This window comes from Homo sapiens, chromosome 8, assembly GCF_000001405.40.
Source record: "Homo sapiens chromosome 8, GRCh38.p14 Primary Assembly".
Lineage (NCBI taxonomy): Eukaryota > Metazoa > Chordata > Mammalia > Primates > Hominidae > Homo > Homo sapiens.
The window spans coordinates 48,503,186-48,530,055 of record NC_000008.11 but is presented as its reverse complement, the minus strand read 5'-3'; the positions used below and the strand labels follow the sequence as shown (position 1 = coordinate 48,530,055).

The 26,870-nt window shown below is 45.4% G+C and overlaps 1 long non-coding RNA gene across 3 annotated transcripts, besides 3 other annotated features; it reads left to right on the top strand.

Moving 5' to 3' along the window:
* LINC02947 (long intergenic non-protein coding RNA 2947) lies at positions 11,974 to 14,204 on the top strand. 3 transcript variants are annotated; one of them, NR_183463.1, is made up of 3 exons: positions 11,974 to 12,056; positions 12,842 to 12,998; positions 13,703 to 14,204. It is a non-coding gene; the product is annotated as a long intergenic non-protein coding RNA 2947 (long non-coding RNA). The 3 variants fall into 3 exon arrangements; NR_183462.1 differs by having other exon boundaries at positions 13,700 to 14,204; NR_183464.1 differs by lacking the exon at positions 12,842 to 12,998 and having other exon boundaries at positions 13,700 to 14,204.
* Positions 14,862 to 14,941: an enhancer, noted in NCBI's record as "active region_27332". NCBI's record gives its function as "activates an Ori minimal core promoter by ATAC-STARR-seq in GM12878 lymphoblastoid cells {active_cell/tissue: GM12878}" and the evidence as "EXISTENCE:reporter gene assay evidence [ECO:0000049][PMID:35858748]".
* Positions 15,132 to 15,241: a silencer, noted in NCBI's record as "silent region_19183". NCBI's record gives its function as "represses an Ori minimal core promoter by ATAC-STARR-seq in GM12878 lymphoblastoid cells {active_cell/tissue: GM12878}" and the evidence as "EXISTENCE:reporter gene assay evidence [ECO:0000049][PMID:35858748]".
* Positions 15,312 to 15,541: a silencer, noted in NCBI's record as "silent region_19182". NCBI's record gives its function as "represses an Ori minimal core promoter by ATAC-STARR-seq in GM12878 lymphoblastoid cells {active_cell/tissue: GM12878}" and the evidence as "EXISTENCE:reporter gene assay evidence [ECO:0000049][PMID:35858748]".

The following is a 26,870-nucleotide window of genomic DNA, read 5'->3' as shown; positions in this document are numbered from 1 at the left end:
AAGAACCTTGAAGAGCTTCTGCAAAGAAAGAACCATGATGTCAAAGACGAGCTTGCATGAAGGAGTAAGACATGGGGGAAAACAGTCAGACTTTAGTATTTTTTGCCCTGCTGCTAGGAAGCACCTCGCTGAAAAGTTATCATGTATGGCAGTGACGATGCTAAAAGTTCAACAAGGCACCAAGGAATGACAACTCAGACAGGTGAAGTCACTTGTTTTTTATGAATTCTAGAAAAGGGGACTTTTAAGTGTCACCACTCAGCATCTACTTGAGTCCTGTCAACAGCAGGCATTGCACTTTAGGTGCCTGTACTCCTTAGAGACGTAGAGGAAGAACAAAGACAAAACATTAACATTTACAATTCCACAGTCAAGCAGATGATAAACTGAATGCCTGCGAGGGAGGACCCCACCAAGAGCAAGCCATGGGAACATCTTAAACACAGCCTGGTGGACAGCAGTGGGTGGCTCACAGAGCTGGGTTCAACTAGAGCCTAGAGAGGTTAAACAGAAGAGCATCTGGAGAAGCAGAGTCCTGCAAAGTGTTTGAAAATGAACGAGGACAGAGACTAGTTAGTGACTGTCAGAAGGGGCCAGGAGGTGAATGGGGAAACTGGGCTTTCCAAAGTGTCACAGAACACAGCTCTGAAGGTGCAGAGGCAGAGAATGAGCACGCCATAGGAGGGGCACAGGCAGTGAGTCTGGGCCTGTGTGGGACGAGCAAAGAGAGAACAAAAGCACAAGTGGCCATGCCAAGCACATGAGGAACAGTGTCCCCAGCTCACACAGCTCACCCTGTGATCAGACAGAGATCACCACCCTCTGAACTTGCAACCCCAGGGTGAGTGGACAGTGACATCCACTCGCTCTGTGTACAATGACTGTACTATACCTGTACTAACTGGAGTTCTCCAGAGAAGGATAACCAATAGGAGGTATATATGCATAGAGGGAGAGAGAGCAATTTATTTTAAAGATTGACCCATGCAATTATGGAAGCTGGCAAGTCCAAAATCTACAGGGTGGGCTGGCAAGCTGGAGACCCCAAGAAGGCTGATGTTGCAGCTGAAGCCTAATGGCCATTAGATTGGAGAACTAGGAAAAGGCTTATGTTGCAGTCCCATTCTGAAGGCTGTAAGTTCCTTTAGGGAAGGCTGGAAGAAAGATGGAGTGTAAGTTTTTGGCTGCATACCAGGGTCCTTGTTCAAGGAGACCCAACCTCCCCTTCATTCAATGGGTTTGAGTCTGTAAACTGGCTCAAGTCTGGGAATTGATTGAGGGGGCATGACTCTCTTTTCATGGTTCAAGTTAGACTTTAGTTTGCTTGATCCAGAATTTAACTGCTTATACAGCTCGAGTAAGAATTTAGTAGGTTTCCTGTGTGTTTCACTGCTGAGAATACCATGATCCACCAGCCGATGCCCCGGGCTGGCATGAGTCAGGCTCTTCTGATTGCAGCTTGGATTCTGCCATCCTTTACAGGGTCCACATCCATGCAGTGATGCTACTTGGCCCCTGCCACTTAAGGATTTAATACTCCCACTGTGTGGATGTTTCCCCACTGTAGGGTGTGGCCCACAGAGAAGAGCAGTCACAGCTCATCAAGGGTTCTGGGGCTCCCCTCTCACATGCATTTCCCATAATCGTGGGAAAAGGTGTGAGTTCTGGGCCCTCCCAGGGTGAGTGAGGATGTCTGGAAAGACGAATCCTCTCTTGCATTCCAACCTCCCCAAGGCTTTGAATCCCTTCCTCTGCATTAAGCCATGACAGGGTTATCATCTCTAACTCATTCACTGTGGGCTTTTGGTCTGTTTCTGCCAAACAGCCCAAGAGTTAGAGCCCCTTTCAACTCCCCAAGCCGCTGCAAAAATTAGTTCAGAATCTCTGCTTAGTGGGCCCGTATCAATGCATTTGGCCTGATCCAACTCAGTGTTCTTTCCACCATTATCTCACACCCTTCATATCCTTAATATCCACACAAGACCACATTCTTCCCTTCTTAGGAGAAAAAGTTCACTGACTGTGATCACAATGGGATCAACTTTTAAGGGATCCCATTTCTTAAATTTGGTAGACTACAGTCAGGGAAGGAAGGAACAGGATGGGGAATGTTCAAATGTGTTCACACTGAGAGCAGAATCATAGACATTGGAGGCTGGGAAAGGTGGAAGGTTTTGAGGGATGGGTACCAAGTTCCCTGTTCAGGGGATGGTTAAACAAAAAGCCCAGACTTCACTAGGCAATATATCCATGTAACAAATCTGCACTTGTACCTGCTACATCTATAAACATTTTTTACTTATTTTATTTATTTATTTATTTTAAGATGGAGTTTCACTCTGTCCCCGGCTGGAGTGAAGTGGCACAATCTCGGCTCACTGCAACCTCCACTTTCTGGGTTCAAGTGATTCTCCTGACTCAGCCTCCCGAGTAGCACGGATTGTAGACACCCATCACCATGCCTGGCTAATTTTTCTATTTTTTTTTTTAGTAGAGACGGGGTTTCTCCATGTTGGCCATGCTGGTCTTGAACTCCTGACCTCAGGTGATCCACCCGCCTCGGCCTCCCAAAGTGCTAGGATTACAGGCATGAGCCACTGCGCCTGGCCTTTAAAAAATTTAGAAAGCAAATGTGCTCACATTGAGCACCCACTCTGCCAGGTGCTGGTGTGTGGACCCAGTCCTGTGAGGTGGGTGCCTATCCACCTCATGTTCCAGAAGAGGACACTTGGATCACAAAGGAACTTGTCCAGTGACAGAAAAGGTGGCAATGGTGAATTCAAATCCAGGTCGGCCTGGCTCCAAAGCATGTTTAAATAAGCTGTTGGGCCAAAACCTAGAACCTTCAGATGCTGATTGCTTAATAATGCCTCCTGGGTTTTCTTGTTTCCCAAAAGTTTTGCATTTTGGCACAATCTCCTTCTTGAATCTGAGTCTGGAATGTTATGGGAACAAGATGAAGAAGAATTGGCCTCCAATTTTATTTTAGGGTTCAGAATATGTTCGTCGTGTACGGTAAAGGCAACCAAAATCAACATTGTTAAATTAAATCATGACTTTTGCAGAAGTACTGATTCACATAGATACTGCACATTTTCAGAGAGAACATGTGGATTTTAGGGGAACTAGCCTGCCTCTAGTTAGGGAGAAATTCTGCTCCACACATTCTGGTTCAGAAACTCCTGTGGGCATTTTGAGATGCCAGAATCTGGGGGGTCAGGTTAGCCACTGCACACAGCCCTTTCCAGAAAGCATGATGTATTATGTTTGAAAAACTAACAGAAGCTCCTAGTCACAGACTGAATGGCCAGTAAGTTTTAAAAAGACCTGGGATTAAAGTTCTGTAGAAGAAATTAATTTACGGCTTTATGATTTATTAAGGTCCCTTTGGCCTTCTGACTTGCATTGCCATTCAAAGAGTAGTTAGAAAAGCTCATTTGGAGAAGGCACTGAGACTGAACCCCAGGTAGACAGTCAGTCTTTGTCTCATTCCACACTGCATCCCCAGCCCCTGGTGTAGTACACAGTACACAGTGGGGCTGGGCAAAGATTTGTGAAGTGCACCAATATTACGTGGGAATGAGAATGTTCTTAGCACCAAAGATGTGAGATTAGGTCAAGAATACAGGATTAGTCACTGAGCTCACAAAGTGTGCATTAGTTGTTTTATTAACATTGAATAAGGGAATTTTTTTGTAAACAAAGAAGACATAGAATAAGTGGCTTATGTTAAAGATAATTATTTGTACGTCGTGAAATGTCTGAACTCAGTCCCCTGAGAATAAACCATCTCGATATATTTCTTCAGCTTAGCTGAGAAAAGTTCAACAATAATAAACATGAAATGTCTGTGCTTTTTACACACCCAAAGGAAAAAGTGAGAACCCCCACTCTGACTGCTTCGGCGGCAGACACATGTGCGCAGGGTAAACAAACAAAGCTTACGAAGCCCGAGATGGAGGCATGCATTCCACAGACCCGGGCTGCCCTGCATGTGGGCCCCGGGCAGTGTAGGGATTAAAGGGCAAGGGCCAAGGGCCAGGTCAATTTTTGATCCGGAGACTGAAAATCTGAGACTGGCCAGGTCAGAAAAGGCCCAGAAAGCCGACTACACCAACTACTCCCAGCTCCCCCAAACAGGTAGGCGTGAACTCAGCTGTGCTGTTGAGGAAGGGATGGCAGAGGACAGTGCTGGCCTTCTCTCCACACTTTCCAGGACCCTCCTGCACCCCCGTGACAACCTAGGGGGCAGGTCTGCACTCACCTCACCTCTGGCACTAATGCACCAGCTGGCTGCACTCTGGTGGGTTTCCCAGACTGGGTTTCTTGCAGAGAAGACAGGCTAGTGAAATTCTCTAGAAAATAAAATGCAGAACTTCCAAAGTGCTATTTAGAAGAGTAGTACAACTTGAAAACAATCAGCCAGTTTCAGCAAGGACCCCAGGGGACAGATCAGGGTTTCTGGAAGAGCTGCTGGTGTGGCTGCAACCCTGCCGTGGGTAGGGTCCATCTGAGGTGGGCTGTGCAAGGCTGTGCACGGTCCACCTCAGGGACTTGGTGCTCCCAACTGCATCTGCCCAGGGGCTTCTTTCTGCCCCCCACCCAGCCTCCACAAGAGCTCCCTGAGGCTCAGGCTGGGCAATCCCATCTCCTGTTGAAGTCCCATAATCTGTGAAGTTTGTGGTCAATAAAGGAAGTTTAGGAATAGGAAATAGAGGAGCTGTTTTAAATACAGAGACCTAAGGCTTAGTCTACGCATAAAATACAAAGGAAAAAAGGGAGCCCTGAGATACTGCATAAGGAAAGTAATTCAGGTGCAGGAAGAGAAACCCAAAGCCCGACCTTGAAATAAAGCCCATAACATGCATCCCCAAGAAAGGTGTGGGGTTCCTGGATAGGAGTGACCCAGAATAGATTTCCTGAGGAAAGCATTTGAGAGACAAACAAAAAAAAATGAATCCTGAACGGAAAGTCAGCTTTGTGGCACGAGGTTTGAGCAACCAGACTCACTTTGTCAATATCTGCTACACCCAAACTTCCAGAAAGGGCAGCGCCCTCAAAGAAGACAGGGTCTGAGGACACACCAGACAGGTGAGTGAAGAGGTTCAGGATGTGTGAGCATTTTAAAATACACCATCTACCGAAGACTTGTGCCCACAGAAACAAATACAAAACAACTTTTTTTCCATCTTTTTCATCATCAGACCAAGAAATCTAAAAGAATCATTTTATGGGAGTCTTTGTGTTCATCAAACTGATCTGCAAAGTTTAAGGACTCGATCAAATAGAATAATGCAATGTCTTCTTAAAATATTTCTCTTATGGAGGTTGGATGAAAGATATGCTTTGTTCTGATCATGTGTAAGGCACGTGGTGTCAGCTCCACAGGGACAAGAGGAACCCACTGCCAGCCAACCTCTCAGGGACATTTCCTCTGCTCAAAGGTGGGGTCAGCCCTGTGCAGCGCAGGCCGACCCAGGAGAAATGGGAAAATTCCCAGGTCCAGTCAGCAGGGCAGTGGCACCTCGACCCCCAGCGTCCACTCCCCACAGTGGACCAACCTGAATTCCAGCCAGCCACGGTCCCTGGTCACAGCCATCCAGACCCTCACCTTAGGAGGCTGTAACACCCCACACCCAACCCACGCCATGCCCCAGCCAACTCTACCAAAAGAATGTTCTTCCCTGGAGATGCCTCATCGTTTTATACCTCCAAGGTTTGCATATCGGATAGGAGACGGTGGGTCCATCTGGTGTCTCCGGGTTCTGAACCACCATGACTTTTGCTCACAGGTGTAGCCAAGCCCGCAGCCTGTCAGAGGAGGCCTCCACCCCTAACATGTATCCCTCCACCACCCCAACCCTTTCTCTTCCCGGCCATTCTGCCTCCAACTCCCCCACCACAAACTGTCATTAATTCTCATCTGCAAATCTCTGAAAACCTGCCACCCTGGGGGTGCAGCTGGCCCAGGAAAGGGAGCACGGAGGGCAGCAGCCCATCAATAATCATCAGCAGGGAAGACCGCACAGCCAGGCGGCAGCTAATTAGGTAGGGTGGAGTAATTAAATTCACAGGCTTTGATCTGTTCTTCAAATATTTCCAAATGTTCTCTATCATTTGGCTTTAGATACCATCACACTTCTCCACAATTACGAGCTGCCTCCTGGTTGACCTTAGTCTCTCTGCTGCAGAGGGACCCACGCTGCAGCCAGGCCAGCATCCCCCAGAGGAGGTGGGTGAGAAGCCTCTCAACTGGGAATCAAGTGGTTGTATTAATGTAAGTTATAGACAGGGGCAACAGGAAAACGCAGGAAATGGCTGAACAAGCTGTTTGCCAGTCCTTTTCAATTTCGAAAATCAGATGTGCCATCACCAGAGGGGACTTACAGGGAAGCTAAAGCTAATTTGCAACAACAGTGTTTTGTATCCATCACCAAGGCACAGACTATCACACTTCCCATCCAGAGAAAGCGCACCTTGACATGCTGAGACATGGCATCACCATTCAGAAGGTCTCATTTTCATGGCCTTCCTGCCCCCCAGAAAAGAGGCTCCTCTGTGCGGGAGCCTTAGGGAACGGACGTGCCAGCCATGGTGGTGTCTCTCCTCCCCATGAGGAAAGACCAGCCAGTTTTTCTGCTGAAGTAAGTGGCTGTTTTGTGATTAGCAGGAGTTTGTGAAGAGCTGGGATCCCGCTGGCTCCCAGCCTGTAGCCCCCACCTCAGCCCTGCAGGGCCACCACGGGGAAGCCCCATCCCTATGCTGCCTGCTGGTGCAGTCTCCAGGAACCAACTCGGATTCACTGGTCAGCAGTGTCGTCTCATCACCTCCTAAAAACTGGGAGCTCTGGAACAAATACCACTCTCCAGTTCTGCTACTTTCCCCCTTCCTCAGAATAAAAATGACCTCTTCAAGGGAAATGCCTGTCTATGGGTAAACCGTCTGAGTGAAATGAGAACCCTCTCCCAACACTGCCTCTGCAGACTTCCGAAACCAAACAGGAGCCTTAATGTCTGAACGTTTCTATTACTTCATCTACGCATAAAGTGCTCACAACCATCCAAGAAGCACAATCTTTTAACACAAAACAATGGAAAGTGAGAAGGCTGTTTCATTACTTTTCCATCTTTGGCTCAGACATGGAAAGGCTATTCTGGGCTGAGTCTTACAGGAAGTACCAAAAACCTCAGGAGGGATGGAGCTGCTGCAAGATTTCCAGTCTGTTTTAACAGGCTGTTGGAGACATTTCAGACAGGTTTCTGCTAAAGACCCAAACATGTGGGTGCTTATCTGAACTGAACCCAAATCTTTGGAATTTTACACCTCACTCCTGAAAACTCTGCCGCATGCTCTGACTTGCAGCTCCCGGAGGCACTGTCTCCTGGGAGTCAGGGTCACCTTTGCATACACCTGTTCTGCCCAGGGTGGTTGGGAAACGTCTTTCAACTCTGTATTTCTCCAGTTCGTTCTATATGGTCTGTGCAACCACTGAGCTTTCAAAGCAAGTCCACTGGAATGCTTCATAGCTGAATGGTCATAAGAGGACTTTATAATGAATCTACTTGGAGCAACTCAGAACAGGTATCAGCTAGAAGGACAATTAAAGTACGTGTTCTGCCAGGAAATTCTGCCAGTTTTTACCTGTTAAAGCAATTGGGAAATAGACTTGTACCTGCTGAAAAATTTACTTGTACGTGCACGCATGATGTGGGAGGGTGAGCAGGTGTTTGCGAACCACAGTTATATTCTTAACAATGCTCTCTGTCTCCAATTGAAAAAGAATGTTTGCTGCTCACACTTTCTTACAACGAGAAGAGGAAAGTTCTGTGGAGCTCAAGAGCCCAATGGGGTGGTTAGATTTTCAGAGTGAAAGAAAGTGCTCACTATGGAGCATGAATTTCCACATCCAACATATTTTGGGATTTTCTTTAATTAAAAGCAACCAGCTTTGGATTCTTCTTCATAACTCTTTGCTGCCAAACAGTAGGAAAGGAACTAGCCCTGACAACCAAGGCCCAGAGGACACCATCAGTCACTTCCTGGCCCTCTGTGCTGGGATTTGCCCAGAAGCAACATTTCCCCCTGTGCTTGTATGAAAGGACCCCACTATGGGAACAAAGAGACAATAAAGTAATTCACTGAGTAATCCTGCTGAGAAATGAATCCCATTTGAAGCCAAATCTAATTGCACAGAGACACTGAATTAGTGCCTAGGTGATAATAGATAAGGAATGCTTTCATTATGCTACAATGGATGAGTAGACTCTTCAAGAGCAGCCTAGCGCCCTGATAACCCACGTGTAAATGGGGAGTTGCATCAGTGTGTTCCATAGACTAATTTCAGATTAGAATGAAACACAGAGAAGACATGTTTTTACGACAAAGGAAAAATAATTTGACGGTTCTTTATAAGTCCTCTGGCTGTGCCCTTCTTTTCCTGGGTTATAGCTGCAGAGTGTGGGCCAGAGAGTGCTTTCCTGTTGTCTCTGCCATGCAGGAACAGCTGCTGCCGTGAAATATCTGAAGCCCAATTTGGGCAGAGCCCCCAAATCCCCAGTGTTCCACACAGGCAAAAGCTGGGAGATTCCTACTTTTGCTCCAGCTTCCCCCTTTCCATGGTCACAGCAAACAGAGCCACTGTGTTCAGGAAGTGGTGACTGGTCTATTATTGGACTGTGGTCTGCGGTCAGGCCCACTGTGGTCAATATTGTGGTCTCCCCCTGGATTTTGTTCCATGAAGGTGCCATCTTTAATGTTGCCAACGTATTATCATCCCTTCTCCCTCCCCCAAAAGCCTTGTCCATAGCACATTCCTAACCATCAGACCACTTATAAACATAGGTCAGTCAAGTTTTGCCCTTCTAGCATGGATATTCAGAAGCCCAAGGCTTACTTCTTCTTGCAGTGCCAATGCAGAGGCAACAGTGAAAAATACTGGCACTAAGCCAGCTGCAGAAGCATCTCATTTAACCTGGCAAACAATACTCAGTTACAGGAGCAAGTCACAGGAAGATGGGAGACCCAGACCCTCAGGCAGACCAAGCCCACGAAGCACCTGTGAAAGGGATGGGCAAGGTTGCCAGGGCTCACAAGCACAGCTAGGTGGCCCAGGGGATCCATGGACATGGGAAATGTCCAGCCTAGACAGCCAATTTCCACCTGCTCTACTTTGCAACTTTACTGTGCTATTGGCCACAGGTAAAGCTGTGTAACTGAGGCCCTTGTCTATCAGTCCAACTCTCTCAGCAGCTTTGATTTCAATGGAAAATGGCATGTGTGTTCAAAGAAGCCTGGGCAGGGCCCCGCAGCTGAGAAATACAATCGTGAGCGTGGCGACCTGGGTTTACCCATGGACAGCTGCATTCTTTCCCGGAGCTTCAGAGTCAAGCACATTGACTTGTAAAACCTTAATTAGGGTCTTAAAATGGTTACACACTGTTAAAAGGATGAGGGGTGGGATGTGCACAGAAATCCAACGTGTCTGTTCCCTCACTGTATGTTTATCTTCACCTAACTCCCTTTTGAAAAAGCAGCGCCCACCACCCGAAAGCCATCTCACCAGAGTGAGCAGGTGCCGGGCGGAGCACAAAGAGCGCCAGCTTTCTCTGTTTAAGATCCTCACCCTCTTTGGTGCCATGTTACTGCCAGTGTGCAGAAATCCCCTTCCCAAGTCCCCCAAGGTGTTTAGGATCATTCAAAACCATTCGAACTGCTGGCTTGCTTTCAGGTGAGCACTATAAACAAACCCCTGCCCGAGTGGAAAATGCTTTCCAAGTCAGCTTTTCTAAGTCAACACCAGTCTCCAAACCTGGACATTTCACAAGGATCTTCTCATGTTTTCCATTGTTTTGCTTCCAACATGCATCCTAAAGCCCGAGCCTTTAAGGTTTGTGTCTCTAATGGCCTCTTGCAAATGGCCTTGCTATTTTAGTTTGTCTTGAATGATTCTAAAGTTTTCCATCTTTGGGGTAGGTGGATCCATTCACTGCTGGACAGCCTATCTGCAACTCAGCCAGTCGCCAAGCACTTCCTGAGCTCATGGGCCTTGCTAGCTCCTGGCTGGCATTTATTTCAGGCCTTCCAGTATCCTGGGTAGTTTGCAGGCATTCCCTCCCATTCTTCATGTCCTTATGAGGTAGATGACATTTTTACCCCAGTTTTACATATGAAGAAACTGAGACTCGGAGCTGTGAAGCCACTGGCACACACAACATAGCAAGGAAGCAGCAAATGTGACACCTCACCCAGGTCACCTGGCTCAGAAGCCTAAGCACGAATCCACTGGAGGGCCTGGGGTACCCTGGCACACAAAATACCAACATCTCCTGCCCTCATGGGTCCCACAAGGGAGAATTCAGAAACTAAACAAATGCAAATAACATTAAATAAGCACAGGAGGAATAGAAAGTACAGATCACTATGGAAATTTTGCAGCAGACGTACCTTGCAAATGTGCAGTTTCCTTATATGGAAACACACAGGCCCTCTCAGAGGGAGAAAGGAAAGCACACACCAAATGCATTTTCTCTCCTCTAGATCCTAATCCCTGCCTGGAACAGGTTACATTTTTCCCAGGGAGCTAAAGACATATATTAAATACCTGAAATCCTTAATCATTAATTTGTTCTCATCTAAAATCTAAGAGGACCTACACACAATGCTGATGTGACTAAAAAATAAAATAAAACCTAAGAGGATCACTAACACACACAGCTCTACCTTTTGAGAAAAATCTATGAAGTTATATCATGTGCATTTTTTCCAAGACAGTATACATTGCTCTAAGTTAAAAATAAGCATTTGCCTGAGATTTAGAAAATAAAACGGAAATGAGTAAATGCTACTTTCTGTGTCATGTGGCCATTTTTTATTAGAATTTGTTTTTCAGAGAAAACTCAGCTTTAAGCAAATGTTTTCCCTCCTATAAAGCTGGGATGGCACAAGGAGGTGTTGATGGCGAAGTAGAAAAGTAAACCAGGGAGAGGAACTGCGGCTAATTTGCTCTTTTATATTAATTTTTAAAAATGATATTAGTGGAAAAGGGCACTGAAGCTACAGATCAGACTAAAATATTTTAATGCATCTGTAAACTTTGATTATCTATACTATATTGTAACAACATCAGCTAGCACATGTTGGGCGTGTATTATTTGCCAGGTACTGGACTAGGTCTTTGCTATAATTATGCCTTTCCAGGCAGATATTGTCATAACTACTCATGAAATGTAAAAATGAATCATTGTCACAACTGGCTTGTAGGGAGTGCTGGCCCCGCACCAAGCATTATCCTACACACTTTATGTGTCTTAGGGCACATTTTCCATTAACTAGTAGTGCAGCATCTAAATCCCCATCCTATTGAGGAGTGGAGGTAAGGAATGAGTCCCACTTTCCCTCAGCACACCCTCTGGTGGCTTGCATCCTACCATTCAGATGGGCCATTGACTCGTGAAGAAATGGTTTCATTTCAGAAACAGTTGGCCAGTCTCCCCTGCAGCAGCAGTGGACTACCCATGAGGGATGAGAAATGGTCAAGGTCCAGCTGCTTTGGCTCTTGCTCATTGTTAAACCTACTTCCTCAGTCATGCGATGGTTGCCTTCTCATAAGCTCATCCCTGCTTTGGAAAGCCAGTGGTCATCTACAATGTTGGCAAGCAAGAATTATAACTAAATCACAAGCGTTTTCTCATTTAACCCTCACAGCCACCAAATGAGGCAGGTACTTTACTATGTCCATGTTATAGGCAAGAAATTAAGGTGCAGAGGGGTTGAATGCCTGATATGGTTTACCTCTGTGTCCCCACCTAAATCTCATCTTGAACTGTACTCCCATAATTCCCAAGTGTTGTGGGAGGGACCCGGTGGGAGATTATTTGAATCATGGGGGCAGTGTCTCGCATATTTTTCTCGTGGTAGTGAACAAGTCTCACGGGATGTGACAGTTTTATCGGGGGTTTCCGCTTTTGCATCTTCCTCATTTTCTCTTGCTGCTGCCATATAGGAAGTGCCTTTCACCTCCCAAAGTGATTCTGAGGCCTCCCCAGCCATGTGGAACTGTAAGTCCAATTAAACCTCTTTTTCTTCCCAGTCTCAGGTATGTCTTTATCAGCAGCGTGACAATGGACTAATACAATGCCTTACTCAAGATTGCAGAGCTAGTGCCAGTGTTGAAACCTGAGCAATCTCACACCAAATCCAGCTCAGGGAGATTTACTAACTTATCCAAGCAACTCTGGGTACAGTCATTATTTGATTCCACTATCACAGGCAGCTTTTTACTGTTGTGAAGTTCAACTGAGACACAGAGACCCAGAAGAGCATTCAAGAGACTGCTATAATCCAGAACATAGCACTTTAAGGCTTATCCACTGGGATCCTAGAACCTTTCAAATGCTCCACTCCATATCCCAGCTCTATTTCTGGACAGCAAGCCTGCTCTCCCCAAATGGAGCTTTCACCTCCTCCCTGGGCCTTGATCCCAATACACAGAGGGTCAGATGAGGTTCTGCAGACCAGAACATTACCTCACAGTGACTTCCAGGAGGCAGGTCTCTTCGCCCCACTAGGGAGGAGAGGCCCCACTGCCCCTGCACCTGCAGCCAGGCAAGAGGAAGTTTCTTCTTTTTAAAATCCCTCCTTGTTTCCATAAATCTCAGGCCTCTTAACCTTCCAAGCTCTGAATAAAGGTACAGTGTTTCTTCTCCACAAACAGCATACTGTGCCCCACTTCTATCAATGCAAGGGTCACCCAGTGCCCGTTGAAAACAGCCTTCCCATTGAGAATGTTCACATTGCTTACTTTCCCTGTGGTTCTGAATCTTCTCTCCTTGTCCATTCAAAGTTCCAGTGAAGGTGCTGCATTGATAACAACTTTAGCCTCTCCAGTGTTCACAATGGAAGGCCAGGAGAGAGATTATCCACAGCCCCGGGGGAATTCTGAAGATGGTGGGAATGGGGTGGACCCCTGGGGCCCCAGCCGTCAGTGAGCAGCCCTGCAGGTAGGCAGCTCTTGACACCACATGGATACTTTCAATGGCTCGCTTCTTTAGATGACAATGAAAGAGGGTCAAGGAGTGTTTTCTTCTCTAGCTCTGAAATGGTTCATTCTGCTTTCCTGCCAGTTACCCATGGCCAAAGAAGCGGCTGATGGTTTCAAATATTATTTGAATATTACTTAATACAAAGAAGGAGGAAGAGGAAGAAGAGAGTGGTTGGGGGGCAATTCTCATTGTTGGTTTCCATTTTTACGGGGTTTACTGAGCAGCCACACTGAACATGAGGTTTGATTTGTGAGACTGAGCTAACCTAGATATTTCATGAGGGATTGACTTTAGATTCTGTTATCTTTTTGTGCCCTTTGGTACACAGCTTTTCAAATGAATCAAAAATGGATTCAAAGAAAACTAATTTTCATTTTAAATCCCTATGGTGAAATAGGTCATTTCATATGTTTTCCAAGTGTTGTTTATATTGTGTATGTCTGTATAACATCTAACACACCATGAAAACTAATTAAATGGTAAAATAATTAGAATATTTATACAATCATATAAGTACACAAACTGAAATTTTTCACTCCTTTTTATTTTTTGTCAGTTTATATTAGGTAATTGCATTAGGCAATTTAGAATTTATCTCATCAAATGAAACTTTGAAGAGTATATTCAAGTGAAAATAACAAAGCTCTTTGTGTTTTTAGCAGATTTAACCCCAATAATATTTGAAGTCCTACTGAAGTGCCATGTCAAAGGCATTACAGTAGCTCTGAAGAAAAAGTAAAATACCTTCTGAAACAACTCTGGGAAGAAGCTCACCACCCGGCCACGATACCCACTTCTTGCTGCCAAGAAGCTTCTAGCTACACGGTTTTTCCTTCCACCCCACAGTGCAGTGGAAACAAGACCCAAGCTCTTCTCAAGGAGTAAGCACAGGACAAGTTTCCTGCTAAGTGGTCCTAAGTCAACAAGGCCATCTGATAGGAATTTGAGGAGTAGTGAATTTTATAGGAATAGAGGGGAAAGGACTCTTTTTCCATGTAGGCTTCTCTTGGAGTGGGGAGATTAGGAAATCTCCATGATATAAAATGATGAAAGTTCGAATCATTGTCACCCTACCGGAAAGACTCCAATTTGACCTTAGTGCTTAATCCCTTTAGTTTGAAGTGTAGCTTAAAAGTATTTAAATAAAATACAGCTGCCCCCAAACTGTGAGACTGTGAGTGGGAAGGGACATGACTGTGTACTTGGAGACCTCAGGTATGTTGGGGGTCGGGGGCAGCCACCGGGACGGTTAGAAAACCCAAATGAGTCTTCTAACACTCATTTACCCAATTTAAAGAGAACATTTTGACAATGTTGTGCAAATTTTTTTGCTGCCCACTTTTAGAAACTATACTAGGACAATGTGGGTGGTATATCGGATTATGTACACGAAACATGTGAAGTAAATAGGGTTGTGCCATTTCTAAACATCCAAATACTGAGGTACAAAGAGATGGAATGAGTGTCTCATGATCCCACAGCTTATCGGTGTTAAAGTTTAAATGAAGGGGGGAAAAGGCAATAGATCTGAGAAACTTCTAGTTCATAGGTCTCACATGTCATTGGTAAAGCGTGTTTAAGCGGGGAAAAATGATGATGCTTTCAGTTGGATTCTTAATGAAAACTTGTTACATTCCTTTACTTTTCTCCAGAGACAGCCCAGGCGACAGTTTGCACTTCGCATTCCCTAGGGTATCCAGTCACTGCGTGTTCTCTGCCCTCTTTCAGGACACAGATGAAATCCATCTTCTGTCTTTCATGGGAGTGGTGGGAGGACACGGAGGTGGGGGCGGAATCAAGTTTAAATACTAAGAAAATGAAAACAGATGCGTGGAGAGAAGGCGATGCTGGTGGGAATGAAGGCCCGGAAGCCGTTCTCAGTCCTGGCTGCGTCTGCATGGCGCTCCTCCCCAAAACCCTCCTCCCGAGCCTCCGGGAGGGGCTGGCCTCCGCGGGCATCGCCAGCAGGGAACCGCTCCTCCCTCCGCGGAAAACCCTGCTCGGCAGTCCCAGCATGCCTTTTTCAATACACTGTTTGCAATTAATTGGGAGAACCAGAGCTGGGAGAATTAGGAGACAGACCAGTCCCTGAAACACGTGAGGAGAAAAGTGCAGGGCCTTGTCTGTTTGCAGGCACGGAGAACAGGTGCCAAGGGCAGCGGCTCCTTGGCTGGCCCGCGGGTCCAGGGGACGTGAGCAGACCAGGCCGGTGGCGGGTGGCCGGCCTGGGCGGGAGGCCGCTGTTTGTGGAGGGCCGGCCTGCCAGCCCCCGGACGCCAGGGTGGACTCGGCGGCCTGGCGGGGCTCAAGCCCAGCTATCCATCACTAGCCGCCTAGCGGCTAGCACCCCGGAGCAGGAGCCGCCCCGCCCACCTGGCTCCGCCCAGCCGCTGGCCAGAGCTCATGCGCGCGGGCTGACGTCAGCACCCCGCCCCCGCCCGAGTCAGACACCCGGGTCCGCTCCGCCTGAGACTGAAGGGCGCCGGGTGTCTGCGGGGGCGGGGGAAGCTTGGGGCTTCACCAGGGGGCCAGCTGCCTGGGGGTCTCTCTCCCTCCACCAGTTCTCCTGGTCCTGGAGGGAGCCATCCTCCGCATAAAATACCTTCCTGAACCGCGATGTTGCTGCCTGCAGGATACAACCCAGGCTCTTTATAGCACTCCTCACACAACTGCCTCTGGACCTACTTTTACAAGAGGGGGTGGGGTACTGAGAGGAGGTAACTGTTCCTTGTGGCACAGGAGGAATTTGGCCAGGAGGCTGCTCGTCATGTTACTGGAACTGTGTGGGCTGGGCCAGATGAGCTTGCTGAGAGTCCCAACAAGGACCTATCCAGAACCAGAAGGAGCCCCAGAGAGTGGCGGCCCTGGCCTCGCTCACACAGTGTGCACACACAGGCAGTTTTATACCTCCAGCATGTTCACGCAAATAAATAGCAACCCCAAAGAAAACCTTCACAGTGTCTGCCAATGAGCATCTCATACAATTTATAGTATGCTGTCTACAATTAATTGAACCAACTCCAGGACCTCATGGTGGGGACACGGGGGTCACAGGCAGAGGAAAGGCCAGGTTATGCAACAGTGTTGTATAGTGCGCATCTGGCTCATCTTATGTGCTGAATATACTGCAGGAGATGGCAGGCTTGGAAATGTCAGCCATGGCCAAGATCCTGGCCAAAGGAGGCAAAGATGCTGGAGGCCACTGGATTCACACAGGACTACCCTCACAGGGCTCTGGGGCTATGATGGGTTCTTCACTGACAAGAGAAGAAAGACCTGGGGGTCACAGAAGCCTGAGCGACCTGAGTGAAGGCAGGCATCACAAGGCCTAGTCTTAGAGCTGAGACATGGAGGCCTGCAAGTATAGAGCAGAACAGTGGGTTGTTTTATTTTTTAATCAGTGTACTGAGACTTTACAGATTCTTATAACTTCCTGAGAAGAACATACCAGTATTTTAGGCGTCTGTCTTAAATGTACCCTGTATTGTTTCTTAGAACCCCAAAGAGGCCTACAATGATGCTGGCGTTTTGCCTTGTACTTGCCATCTGATGGCAGGTGAGTTTTCACAAGCATATTACAGCCACTTGAAGGTGACATGAAGGTGATACCTGCCTCCTCTCCTACAGACCAAATACTGCTAAACACTGGCTCCACTCTCCAGACATAAAAGTATGTGCATGGATTCAAGGAGCTTTATTTTTAGAAAACCCTTGAACACATGTATACTGAACAACAACTGAAAGGATAAAAATCTCATTTTGATTTTATCTATAGCACAATTTCTGGTACCGTGGAGAAACAAGAAATTAGCTCTTGTGGGAATGGATTTATATGGAAAACCGAGCAAATCTGTTTTGTTGGGGGAAACTAAATTTATACAGCTGATTTTCTTCAAACTGTTCAAAATACTCAAAGGCCCTATCTCTATTAACCAATGATCTAGAAAAGTCTTCATTTTGAGAATAAAGGAATTTCTAACTACATGGATTTCAAAACAGCCCATCTGACTTTTCTATGCTTTGATTTAGGTTCTTATCCATATACAAGTAGTAGGAAAAAAATGAAATCCCAATGAGCCAACAAGAATGTATTGCAGAGTATTACAGTTGGGCCTCTAAGGAGCAATAACAAAATATACTAAGTATCACCAAATGATATTTACTAATAACCTTCCCAGTTGTAATTACAGTCTGTATCATGAAAGTGGGAAGGTAAAGCAAGTAGAAATGTTTTCTTTCTGCACCCCTGTTCCTTTCCCAACTTTGGTTTGATTCTACCAAGATTCAAGGTTGAAATTTGTCCAGATCAAAGCTAGAGATCATGATGATGGTTCTTTGGGGATGAGGTCAGATTTGATTCATAGTAACATTGCAATAACAACTACTGCCTGCAGTGACATTGGTCATTTCCAACACACCTCCCTATATTATTTTATTATAATGACTCTTTTAGTAAGTGTTGTTATCCCCCACTTAACAGGTGAAGAAACAGAGGTCAGGTAAATTAAATACTTTGAGTCACATGGCTAATGAATAGCTGAACCAAATCCATCTATGGGCTGTCTTGGTCAGTTTCTGCTGCTATAACAAATTGCTATGGACTGGGTGGTTTAAACAACAAACACTTATTTCTCACAGTTCTGGGGGCTGGGAAGATCAAGATGGCAACAGATTTGATGTCCGGCAAAGGGTCTCTTCCTAGTTTGCAGGCAGTCATCTTTTTGTTGCATCCTCACATGGTGGCAAGTACAGACAGGAAGCAAGCTTTCCAATGTCTGTCTTCTGAGGGCTCTAATAGCACCTGAGGGCTCCAGCCTCAGGACATTATCTAAGTCTACTTACCTCTCTAAAGGCCTCACCTTCAAACACCATCCCAGTGAGAGTTAGGGCTTCAGCATAGGAATCTGAAGGGGACATCATTCAGTTCATAGCGCTCACCTCCAAATGAGCACTATGCACATCCTTGGTTTTACTGCATCACCTGGCTGTAGGCCCTGACTGACTGGATGAGAATACAAAGCTAGTATCTCAAGAGAAACTGCACAACACACAGGATTCCTTCATGTACTAAGAACAACATATCATGACCTGATGAAAAAAAAGAAGAAAAAAAATATATATATATACATCTGCTAGACAACTAGAAATTTTTGGGAACAAAAATATACATCAGATACACCCCAAATATATTTTGGTTTGAAACTTGAGTAGAGAAGGAGGATGGGGAGAACTAAATGACCAACTAATTCCTGAGCTATCCTTATGCTACCACCTCATTAATTGGCCCCACTTAAAGCATTAGCTTTGTGAGCATTAAGAACCAACCTCAGAGTATGTGGCCCTAGATTCAGGTTCTGGCCCCTAGATGTACCAGCTTTGTAACCTTGGCAGTTTGCTCTAAGATCTTTGCTATGGTTTGAATGTGCCTCCCAAAAAGCATGTGTTGACAACTTAATCTCCAGTGCAACAGTGTTGGGAGGTGAGGCCTAATAGGAGGTATTTAGGTCTTGAGGCATCCACCCTCATGAATGGGTTAATGCCAATTTATTAAAGACCCTGAGGTTGTGAGTTCAATCTCTTGCTCTCCCTCATTCTCTCTTTGCCATCCCACCATGGCTTGATGCAGCAAGAAGGCCCTCACCAGAGGCTGGCACCTTGATATTGGACTTCACAGCCTCTAGAACTGAGGAAATAAAGTTATGTTCTTTATAAATTACCAAGCCTGTAGTATCCTGTTACAGCAGGACAAAATAGACTAAGATAGTCTTTCAGATCTCATTTCTTCATACATAGAGATTTTTAAGAAGTGCTTATTCCAAGGGTTTTCCTATGAGATTTTAATGAGATAATGCATGTAATGGTACTTTGTGGAGGGCCAGGAAATCAGTAAATCAGCTTTTTTCACAAGCCCACCTCTATTTAAAAACAGAACACTATTTAACTAAAATGAAATGAAGTAAGTACCTTTGCCCAAAAGTCCTTGTTAGTTTATTTGAAAAGGAGCTCTATTTCAGATTATTTTTCAGTTAGCTTTTTGAGAACTGATCAGCTTACACTAAAAGTTCAGCCATTACAGGAAACCTGGGAAATGAAGGAATTCGCATGCTAAAAATAAAAAGAGTTTCAGCCAGTGTTAACCTGAATAGGTATTATGTTATTTCACTTGGGTCTTTTCCTCCAACATGAGTTCAAACAAAAATAACCAAATATGTTTAAAAGCTCTTGCTGCCCAGTGACCCTGCTCTGCGAAGGCCCCATGGTTCTGGTGCTGCAGTATGGGAGGCAGAGGCATTTGCCCTGCAGGACCCTTCCTATACCTCTCCTGACTAATCAGTTATTACCTAGGGTCAGCATCGGGTAAGAGTGGGGAGGAAACAGACAGGGGACGTCTGAAGGAATTCTTCAGTAGCTGAGTTGGGTGGGTTTTCCCCCTGTTTAACAAAGGTGAAGAATGGCAGTACCCTGAGTTATGTAGGGCTTCAAGACTCCACTTCATATATGGAGATTTTCCTCTCCTCCCAGGAAAGATCCCTCCCCTTAAGAAAAAGACTGTGCTCCCCAGGAGAGCAGAAGCCCAGGCCTGTCCTCAATGAAGCAGCCTGGGATAGTGGCCTCCGGCCCACAAACCCCATCAGGGACTTGAGCAATAGTTGTGTGAGCAAAATAAACTGTGAAATTAAAGTTACCTGTTTCTGGCAGAAACCTGACTTATGGGGGATCTTTATAGATCTGGGAATAGTAAGAGAGAGTGGTGAAAAATCAATAGCACCCAGAGTGATAATCCACACTGATTTAATTTACTCAAAAAGTATTTCACTCATCTCTTTCTGCCCATGTAAACCCATGCCTAATCTCTAAGTGGTCTGGTATTTATGATAAAAGACACAAGAATACTCATCTAATTGAAGAAGAGCTCTTTGAAACTGGCCTGCTTATTCTGGTGTGAGATACCGCTCAGAAAATATAGGAAGATAGAGTGAACGAGCAAACAGATCTCCAGCTGGCTGTCAGCCAACATGTTGCCTATTCCCTAGCATGTGTATGTAATCTATTAGCCTGTAAATTCCTCAAGTACATGGGCCATGACTTCCATTTCCTTTGTACCCCTCCCCTGCACATAGTACAATAGCCTGCATGAAATTCATAGTCAGTAAACATTGTCAGTTGTTCAATGTTTAAACCTGTTTTTACAAGCCACGTCTCCCTCAAAAAAACCAAAACCATATATATTATTTTAATACATAAGATCAGATATACCACATTTATTTGGTTAATTCTCTCCTGCTACCAGCACACTTTTTAACAGATTTTTACAGTGTAGATAGAGCGCTCCACCTTCGCCAAGTACGGGCAGACATTAAGGTCTCCATCACTACAGGACCTGTCACCTAGAGTGAGCCTATGGCTCCCCTCTCTAGAATCTCCCCTTCAACAAGTCTCAAAGGCTTTCCCGCAACAATTATGTGTGAGTAGGCAGTGATTAAAATCCCTTCCGTTTATGTTCCAGCCATGGAGGACCCACTGCTTTGCTTTCTTTTGCTACATCTCCTATCAGTCTCTGCTGCAGTTATCAACTGCGTTGTATGGAGACATTATGTAGGGAAAAGCGTTTACGTCTGTATATGTACATGTGTGCACATACATGCACACACATACACGCACAATATATGATATTTGCCTGCCCAGGCGCAGTGGCTTACACCTGTAATTCCAGCACTTTGGGAGGCCAAGGTGGGCAGATTGCTTGAGTCCAGGAGTTTGAGACCAGCCCGGGCAACATGGCAAAACCCTGTCTCATTTCTTAAAAATTTTTCAATTAAAAAAAATGTATATATAGATATATCTCCACCAAAAATCAGCTGCAATTGACCAGGAAGAAAAATTCAGAAATATGTGAAGATAGATATTATTTGCAGAGAATCAGAACATTCATTTATTATACAGTCTATCATTGTCATTTTAAGTAAAAATATTACTTGTGTCTTTTAGGGGTTTTCTATTTTTTCACAGCTTCACTGCAACTCTCAGCCTTCTTTGTACCATCGTGTGACTATGTCTGGCCAATGGAATGTGGGTTAAATGAGACACACAGTTTTTAGCACTGGCTGGCAAAGCTCCCTGTGTGATCCTCCACTCCTTCTCTCTGCTCCTGTCACCTGTGCTTCTCCTGTCATTTCACAGGAGCCCAGGGAGGATGTGGAGGCCCTAGACCACTGGCTCTCAGGGGCAATTTTGCCCCCAAGGGACACTGGCAATGTCTGGAGATATTTTGGTTGTCACAACTGGGCAGGGTGTTATTGGCAACTGGTAGGTAGAGACCAGGGATGCTGCTGACCATCTTACAGTGCAGAGGAAAGTGCCCACAACAACTATTTACCCAGCCCAAAATGTTGATAGTGTTGAGATTGAGAAACCTGGCTGTAGACAATGGCCGACATTGCAGGTGGAGAGAGGCTGGATCTCTGAGTGACTCTGTGGAGCAAGCACTGCCCATCCCTCCATCCTGCATATCCACTTAATTGTCTCCACCCTCCTTTATCATCTCCAAGTCTAGATGCAAACTGTGAGAAATAAACCACTGCATTAAAACCCTGAGATTTTAGAGTTATTTGTTAAGACAAGTGCCTTACTCTAATAGACTACAAAACACAAGCCATATAAAGCAAAACTTAGAGACATGCCTTGTAATAGATCACAGGAAAATATGAGGAAAATGTTTTGTTTTGTTTTACTTGCTTTTGATGCTATATCATAATAGTAACTGAAGTCCTGGTGCTTTCCATTAAGGAAGGAATCTTCCAGGCCCCCTTGCTGGGCAACTCTTTTGCGATTAAAAACAAACAGGTCCATCAGGGCATCTGGCACAAACTAGTGAGGAAGACTCAGCTTTTCCTACGTGCTGCACACAGCTTGCCATCTACCCACACCATTTTATGAATGGCTGACATGTACTCCAGTGATGCCGCTTAGTCTAGCGGCTTATAATGAACAACAAGCATGAAAATCTGAGGAGGACACATTTTCAAGAGGAGTGCAGAGATTGGCTTGCAGTTCCTTCTGACTCACTTGGAAGCCTCCTATGCTTATGGTTTCATTTTTCTAACTGCTTACACCAAGCCTTCCTGGTAATTTTGTGTCCGGAATTTATTCCTTCTTGTGGGTTCTTGGTCTCACTGACTTCAAGAATGAAGCCGTAGACCCTCGCAGTATGTGTTACAGCTCTTAAAGATGGTGTGTCCAGACTTTGTTTCTTCAGATGTTCAGATGTCTCTGGAGTTGCTTCCTTCTGGTGGGTTCATGGTCTCGCTGACTTCAGGTGTGAAGCTGCAGACCTTCGCAGTGAATGTTACAGCTCTTAAAGGTGGCACGTCCAGAGTTGTTTGTTCCTCCCAGTGGGTTCGTGGCCTCGTTGATTTCAGGAATGAAGCCACAGACCCTTGCAGAGAGTGTTACAGCTCATAAAGGTAGTGCGGACCGAAAGAGTGAGCAGCAGCAAGATTTATTGTAAAGAGCAAAAAAACAAAGCTTCCACAGCATGGAAAGGGGCCAAGTGGGTTGCCCCTGCTGGCTGCAGTGGCCAGCTTTTGTTCCCTTATTTGGCCCCGCCCACATCCTGCTGATTGGTCCATTTTACCGAGCGCTGATTGGTCCGTTTTACAGAGTGCTGATTCATCCATTTACAGAATGCTGATTGGTGCGTTTACAATCCTTTAGCTAGACACAGAGTGCTGATTGGTGCGTTTACAATCCTTTAGCTAGACACAGAGTGCTGATTGGTGCATTTACAATCCTTTAGCTAGATACTGAGTGCTGATTGGTGCAATTTTACAGAGTGCTGATTGGTGCGTTTACAATCCTTTAGCTAGACACAGAGCACTGATTGATGCATTTACAATCCTTTAGCTAGACACAAAAGTTCTCCAAGTCCCCACCCCACCCAGAAGCTCAGCTGGCTTCACCTCTCAATTTTCCCTACCTTGGCCTGACTAACTTCTCACAGTGTAGTATAGCCAGAATGTTCTGTGGTAAATTAGGATTCAGGTAAAAAGCAGTAACACAATGACGAGTGCAGCTGCAGGCTGGACAGTTGACCACAAAGCCAGTCAAATGCGAAGAGCCTGGAGTTAAGCCTGGCAATGAGGTCAAGTCACTGAAGTCCTAAAGTTTACATAAGGAATCTACAGTGGACAGTAGGTCTAAAAAGTGACACCAGTTTTCAACCTGAAGACTGGAATGGCTGAACCTCTTCAAATCTTTTTATGGCAAGAGAGATCAATGATATTTTACTACATGCAAAAGTTTTCATAATAATAATACTACCTCCCTATACAATGAGCTTTAATGAAAGAGAGATACACACGAAAACGTGCCCCCTTTGCTGTCTTCCAATGAGCTTGCACTCCTCATTAGCTTTCAGCACCTCTGCCAATGTCCCAGCAGAGACGCACTTCGCCCCTTGTCCACTGCGGCTCATGTGGGACCCGGGGCCCTCAGCTCAGGGCGACCCCTCACAGCAGCTCCATAGTCTTCCTCCTGGCCCCATACTTGGAGTGACCACACCTTGCACGGGCCCTCTTCCTCAAGGCTTTTCCACCTCTAGGGAGCTGGCATCTGGCATCTCGGAGGTGCAGAGACTATCACAGTGTGGGGCAACCCACAGGGAAACAGAGGCTGAGAATGAGAAGCAGTGTTGTCACAGAGAGGCAATGCCACCGCCAACAGCCACAGAACAGAGGGCACAGTGGCATTGCGGTGCGGTGCCCTCGCCGCTTATCTCAGGAACTGAGGAGCCTATAGGCGCAGCTCTGCACACTGCCTCCGCGGCCCTGACGGCTGCCTGGAGGAGGCAGCTCAGCCAAGCCCAGTGATAATGCGTGGGAATTGGGTGGACAAGCTGCAAAAGGAAATTCCAAGCGGACAGCAGCAGTGTGTATCAGGACACAGAAGCCAGGACCAGCACGGTGCTCACTGCACATCCAATCACTGCCAACTGCTATGTGAGCCAAGCCTCTCTACCTTCTGGCTGACTTTCACTCATTGACCATCCTTCAGACCATCCCCACATCTGTTTTATCTCATTTATTAGGAAAAAATCCATTTAATTCATCTATGCAACATATATATTTATTCATTTCAAAGTATGTACATGTACTTTTATATTGTATATGCTAAATAATACAATACCAAAATATAATTTAAAATATTTAAGATAATAGAAAACACACACAAATAGACTATCGAGTACTTTCTGCCCACAGGTCACTTTTTTCTTTCTCACCAGGCTGTAGAGTTACTCCACCAGTCAGGAGAGAGCGATTTTGTTCATCACTGTGTCCCGGGACCTCGTACAGTGCCTGATACTTATCATGACTTCCACGAGTTTGAATAGTTAATGAGTGAACCCTGCACACCACCTAAGGTTTGCAATAGCACTGAATGCAAAAGCAGTTAATGCAGAACTTCTAACTTCTCATGAAACAGACTCAAACAGCAGTCAAATCTTGAACCATTCATATAGGTTACAACTTGCATTATTCAGAAAAATGAATGACCCTGTGGGTCATCAGTATAGCCAGTGGGAAGCAGTAGGTTGATGTGAGAAGACAGAGCACTCGATTCCATTTTCCTGAGGATCCGGCACAAAGACAAAACCAAATTTACCTTCATGTGTTTTATTTTTTGTTCTTCACTAAAAAATAATAGATTGCATTGGAACACATGATAATAAAGGACTAAGGGAGCTATTTTACTTTCCGTGTGCTGGATTGAGAGGGCACCATGCCCATCCCTAGAAGAGCCACCCCCTGACCTCCTAAAGTCCCCTGGGCCAGCCCGTCCCTCACAAGTGCACCCCTCAACCCAGTGGAAGTCAGAGGTCCGCATAGTGGAGCAAGAGTGCATCTGAGAGAGGAATCCACGCACAGAAAGTGCATTCGAGGCTATGTTTTGTTTAATCTTTGTAACTGATTGTTCATGGAAGCCATCATAGAGAGTTTTGCTTGAGGTTAGAGCAAAGGTACAGCAAGATAAAAAGAAGCGAATGATACTTCTCAAACATCGTGGTTTCAGATGCGTCCTGGCTCTTCCCTCTCAATTTTGTTAGTCCTTGCTTACCCAGTGCTGGTGGATCATCTCAGCAAATTTGAGTTTTGAGGAGAGAAAAAACAAGTTCCCCAAATGGGGTGGTTTCCACAAATTTTTATGTATTTTGACATGAAAAAGGGGCCACGTGATGAAGTCAGGTAGAGCGGTGGCTCCGTGCAGAGTGTCAGAGCCTGAATCTCCAGCATCAGGGACCCCCTTTCCACAGCAGTGCAGTGTGGCCTGAGACAGAGAAGGTGCTCTGTGGTGACAGCCAGAGGCATTGGCTTTATTTCAATCTTATCCTGGGTAGGATGTGTTTGGGAGGTATAAGACCTACTTGTTTTGATCTGTGAGTTTGTTAAGTAGAGACACACTGAATGAGTGCCACTAAACTGAATCTGATTCCCAAGAGGATCAAAGAACTTTGCTGTATCAAACTCTTCTGAGTGACCAGAAACAACCCCTAGAAAGTGACAGCATTCAAAGCTTTGGCAGGCCACACAGTAAAATTTAACCCGATGAACTAATTATCCACCCTAACAGAAAGGGCAGGGCTTCCTGGGAAATGCATAATCCATAGCTTGCCGTGAAACGCACTCAATAAACAGGTTTCACAATCTCCAGGAAGCCAAGCGGCAGCAGCGGTGTGGGAAAGCTGCCTCCAGCCGGGCTTGCAGGTGCGCCGGAGTGAGCGAGGCTGTTGGCTTCTAGGGATGGGCCACGAGTGGCCAGGGACAAAGCGGCGCAGCAGGTTCCCAGCCGTGGAACACCCTGGGAAATTTTCTCACGCCGTTGATAGGATGGGAACCTGGCACTGCCCTCAATGCCTAATCCATTCTGCAAAACGACATTTATTAGGGTTCTTTCCTGGTTGACTCTTATGCAAAATAGCCACACACATTTAATACTGTTTATAAAAAACCAAATGTCTTCTTCTCAGAAGTGTCTGTTCACATCCTTTGCCCACTTTTTAATGGGGTTATTTGTTTGTTTCTTGTAAATTTGAGTTCCTTGTAGATTCTGGATATTGCTCATCCTGCATATGTACCGAAAACTAAAAATTAAAATAAAAAAATGGAAAGAACACATACTTAGAAGCACCCAAAAATGGATGTTCAGACCATTTCATTTTCTTGAGGACATTTTAATTTTTACTGAGAACTTGGTGCAAAGTGGCTGAGAACTTGTGCCTTCTTAAGGGTTTTTTAAGTAACTGAATCAAGTCAATTTTTATTTTTTTTTTTTTTTGAGATGAAGTTTCGCTCTTCTCACCCAGGCTGGAGTGTAGTGGTGTGATCTCGGCTCACTGTAACCTCTGACTCCCCGGTTCCAGCGATTCTCCTGCCTCAGCCTTCCGAAGACAAATTTTTTTGAAAATGAGCCTCAACCAAAGAAACTGGGGGCGGAGAAAAAGCAGGCAGCAAGCAGGACCATGCAGAAACACTGGCACCGTGGCAATTTCCTTTCTAGTCCCATATCATTTGCCTTTCCAAAAGGAAAATGGATAAATACTATATATATGTATATGTCATATCAATATACTCAAAGTATATATTTATATTATTTATAATTGTATATAATGATGTATTCATATAAATCATATATTATATAGTCATATACAAAAGGAAAGAAATTTAGGTTGGTTTGAGAAGTACCTCTGAAGTATTTCTCTATGACAGCTGCCTATAGGTGGGAAAAGGACCAGTAAGTGCAGAAGCAGTGAACCATTTGTCGTCACACTAAGCA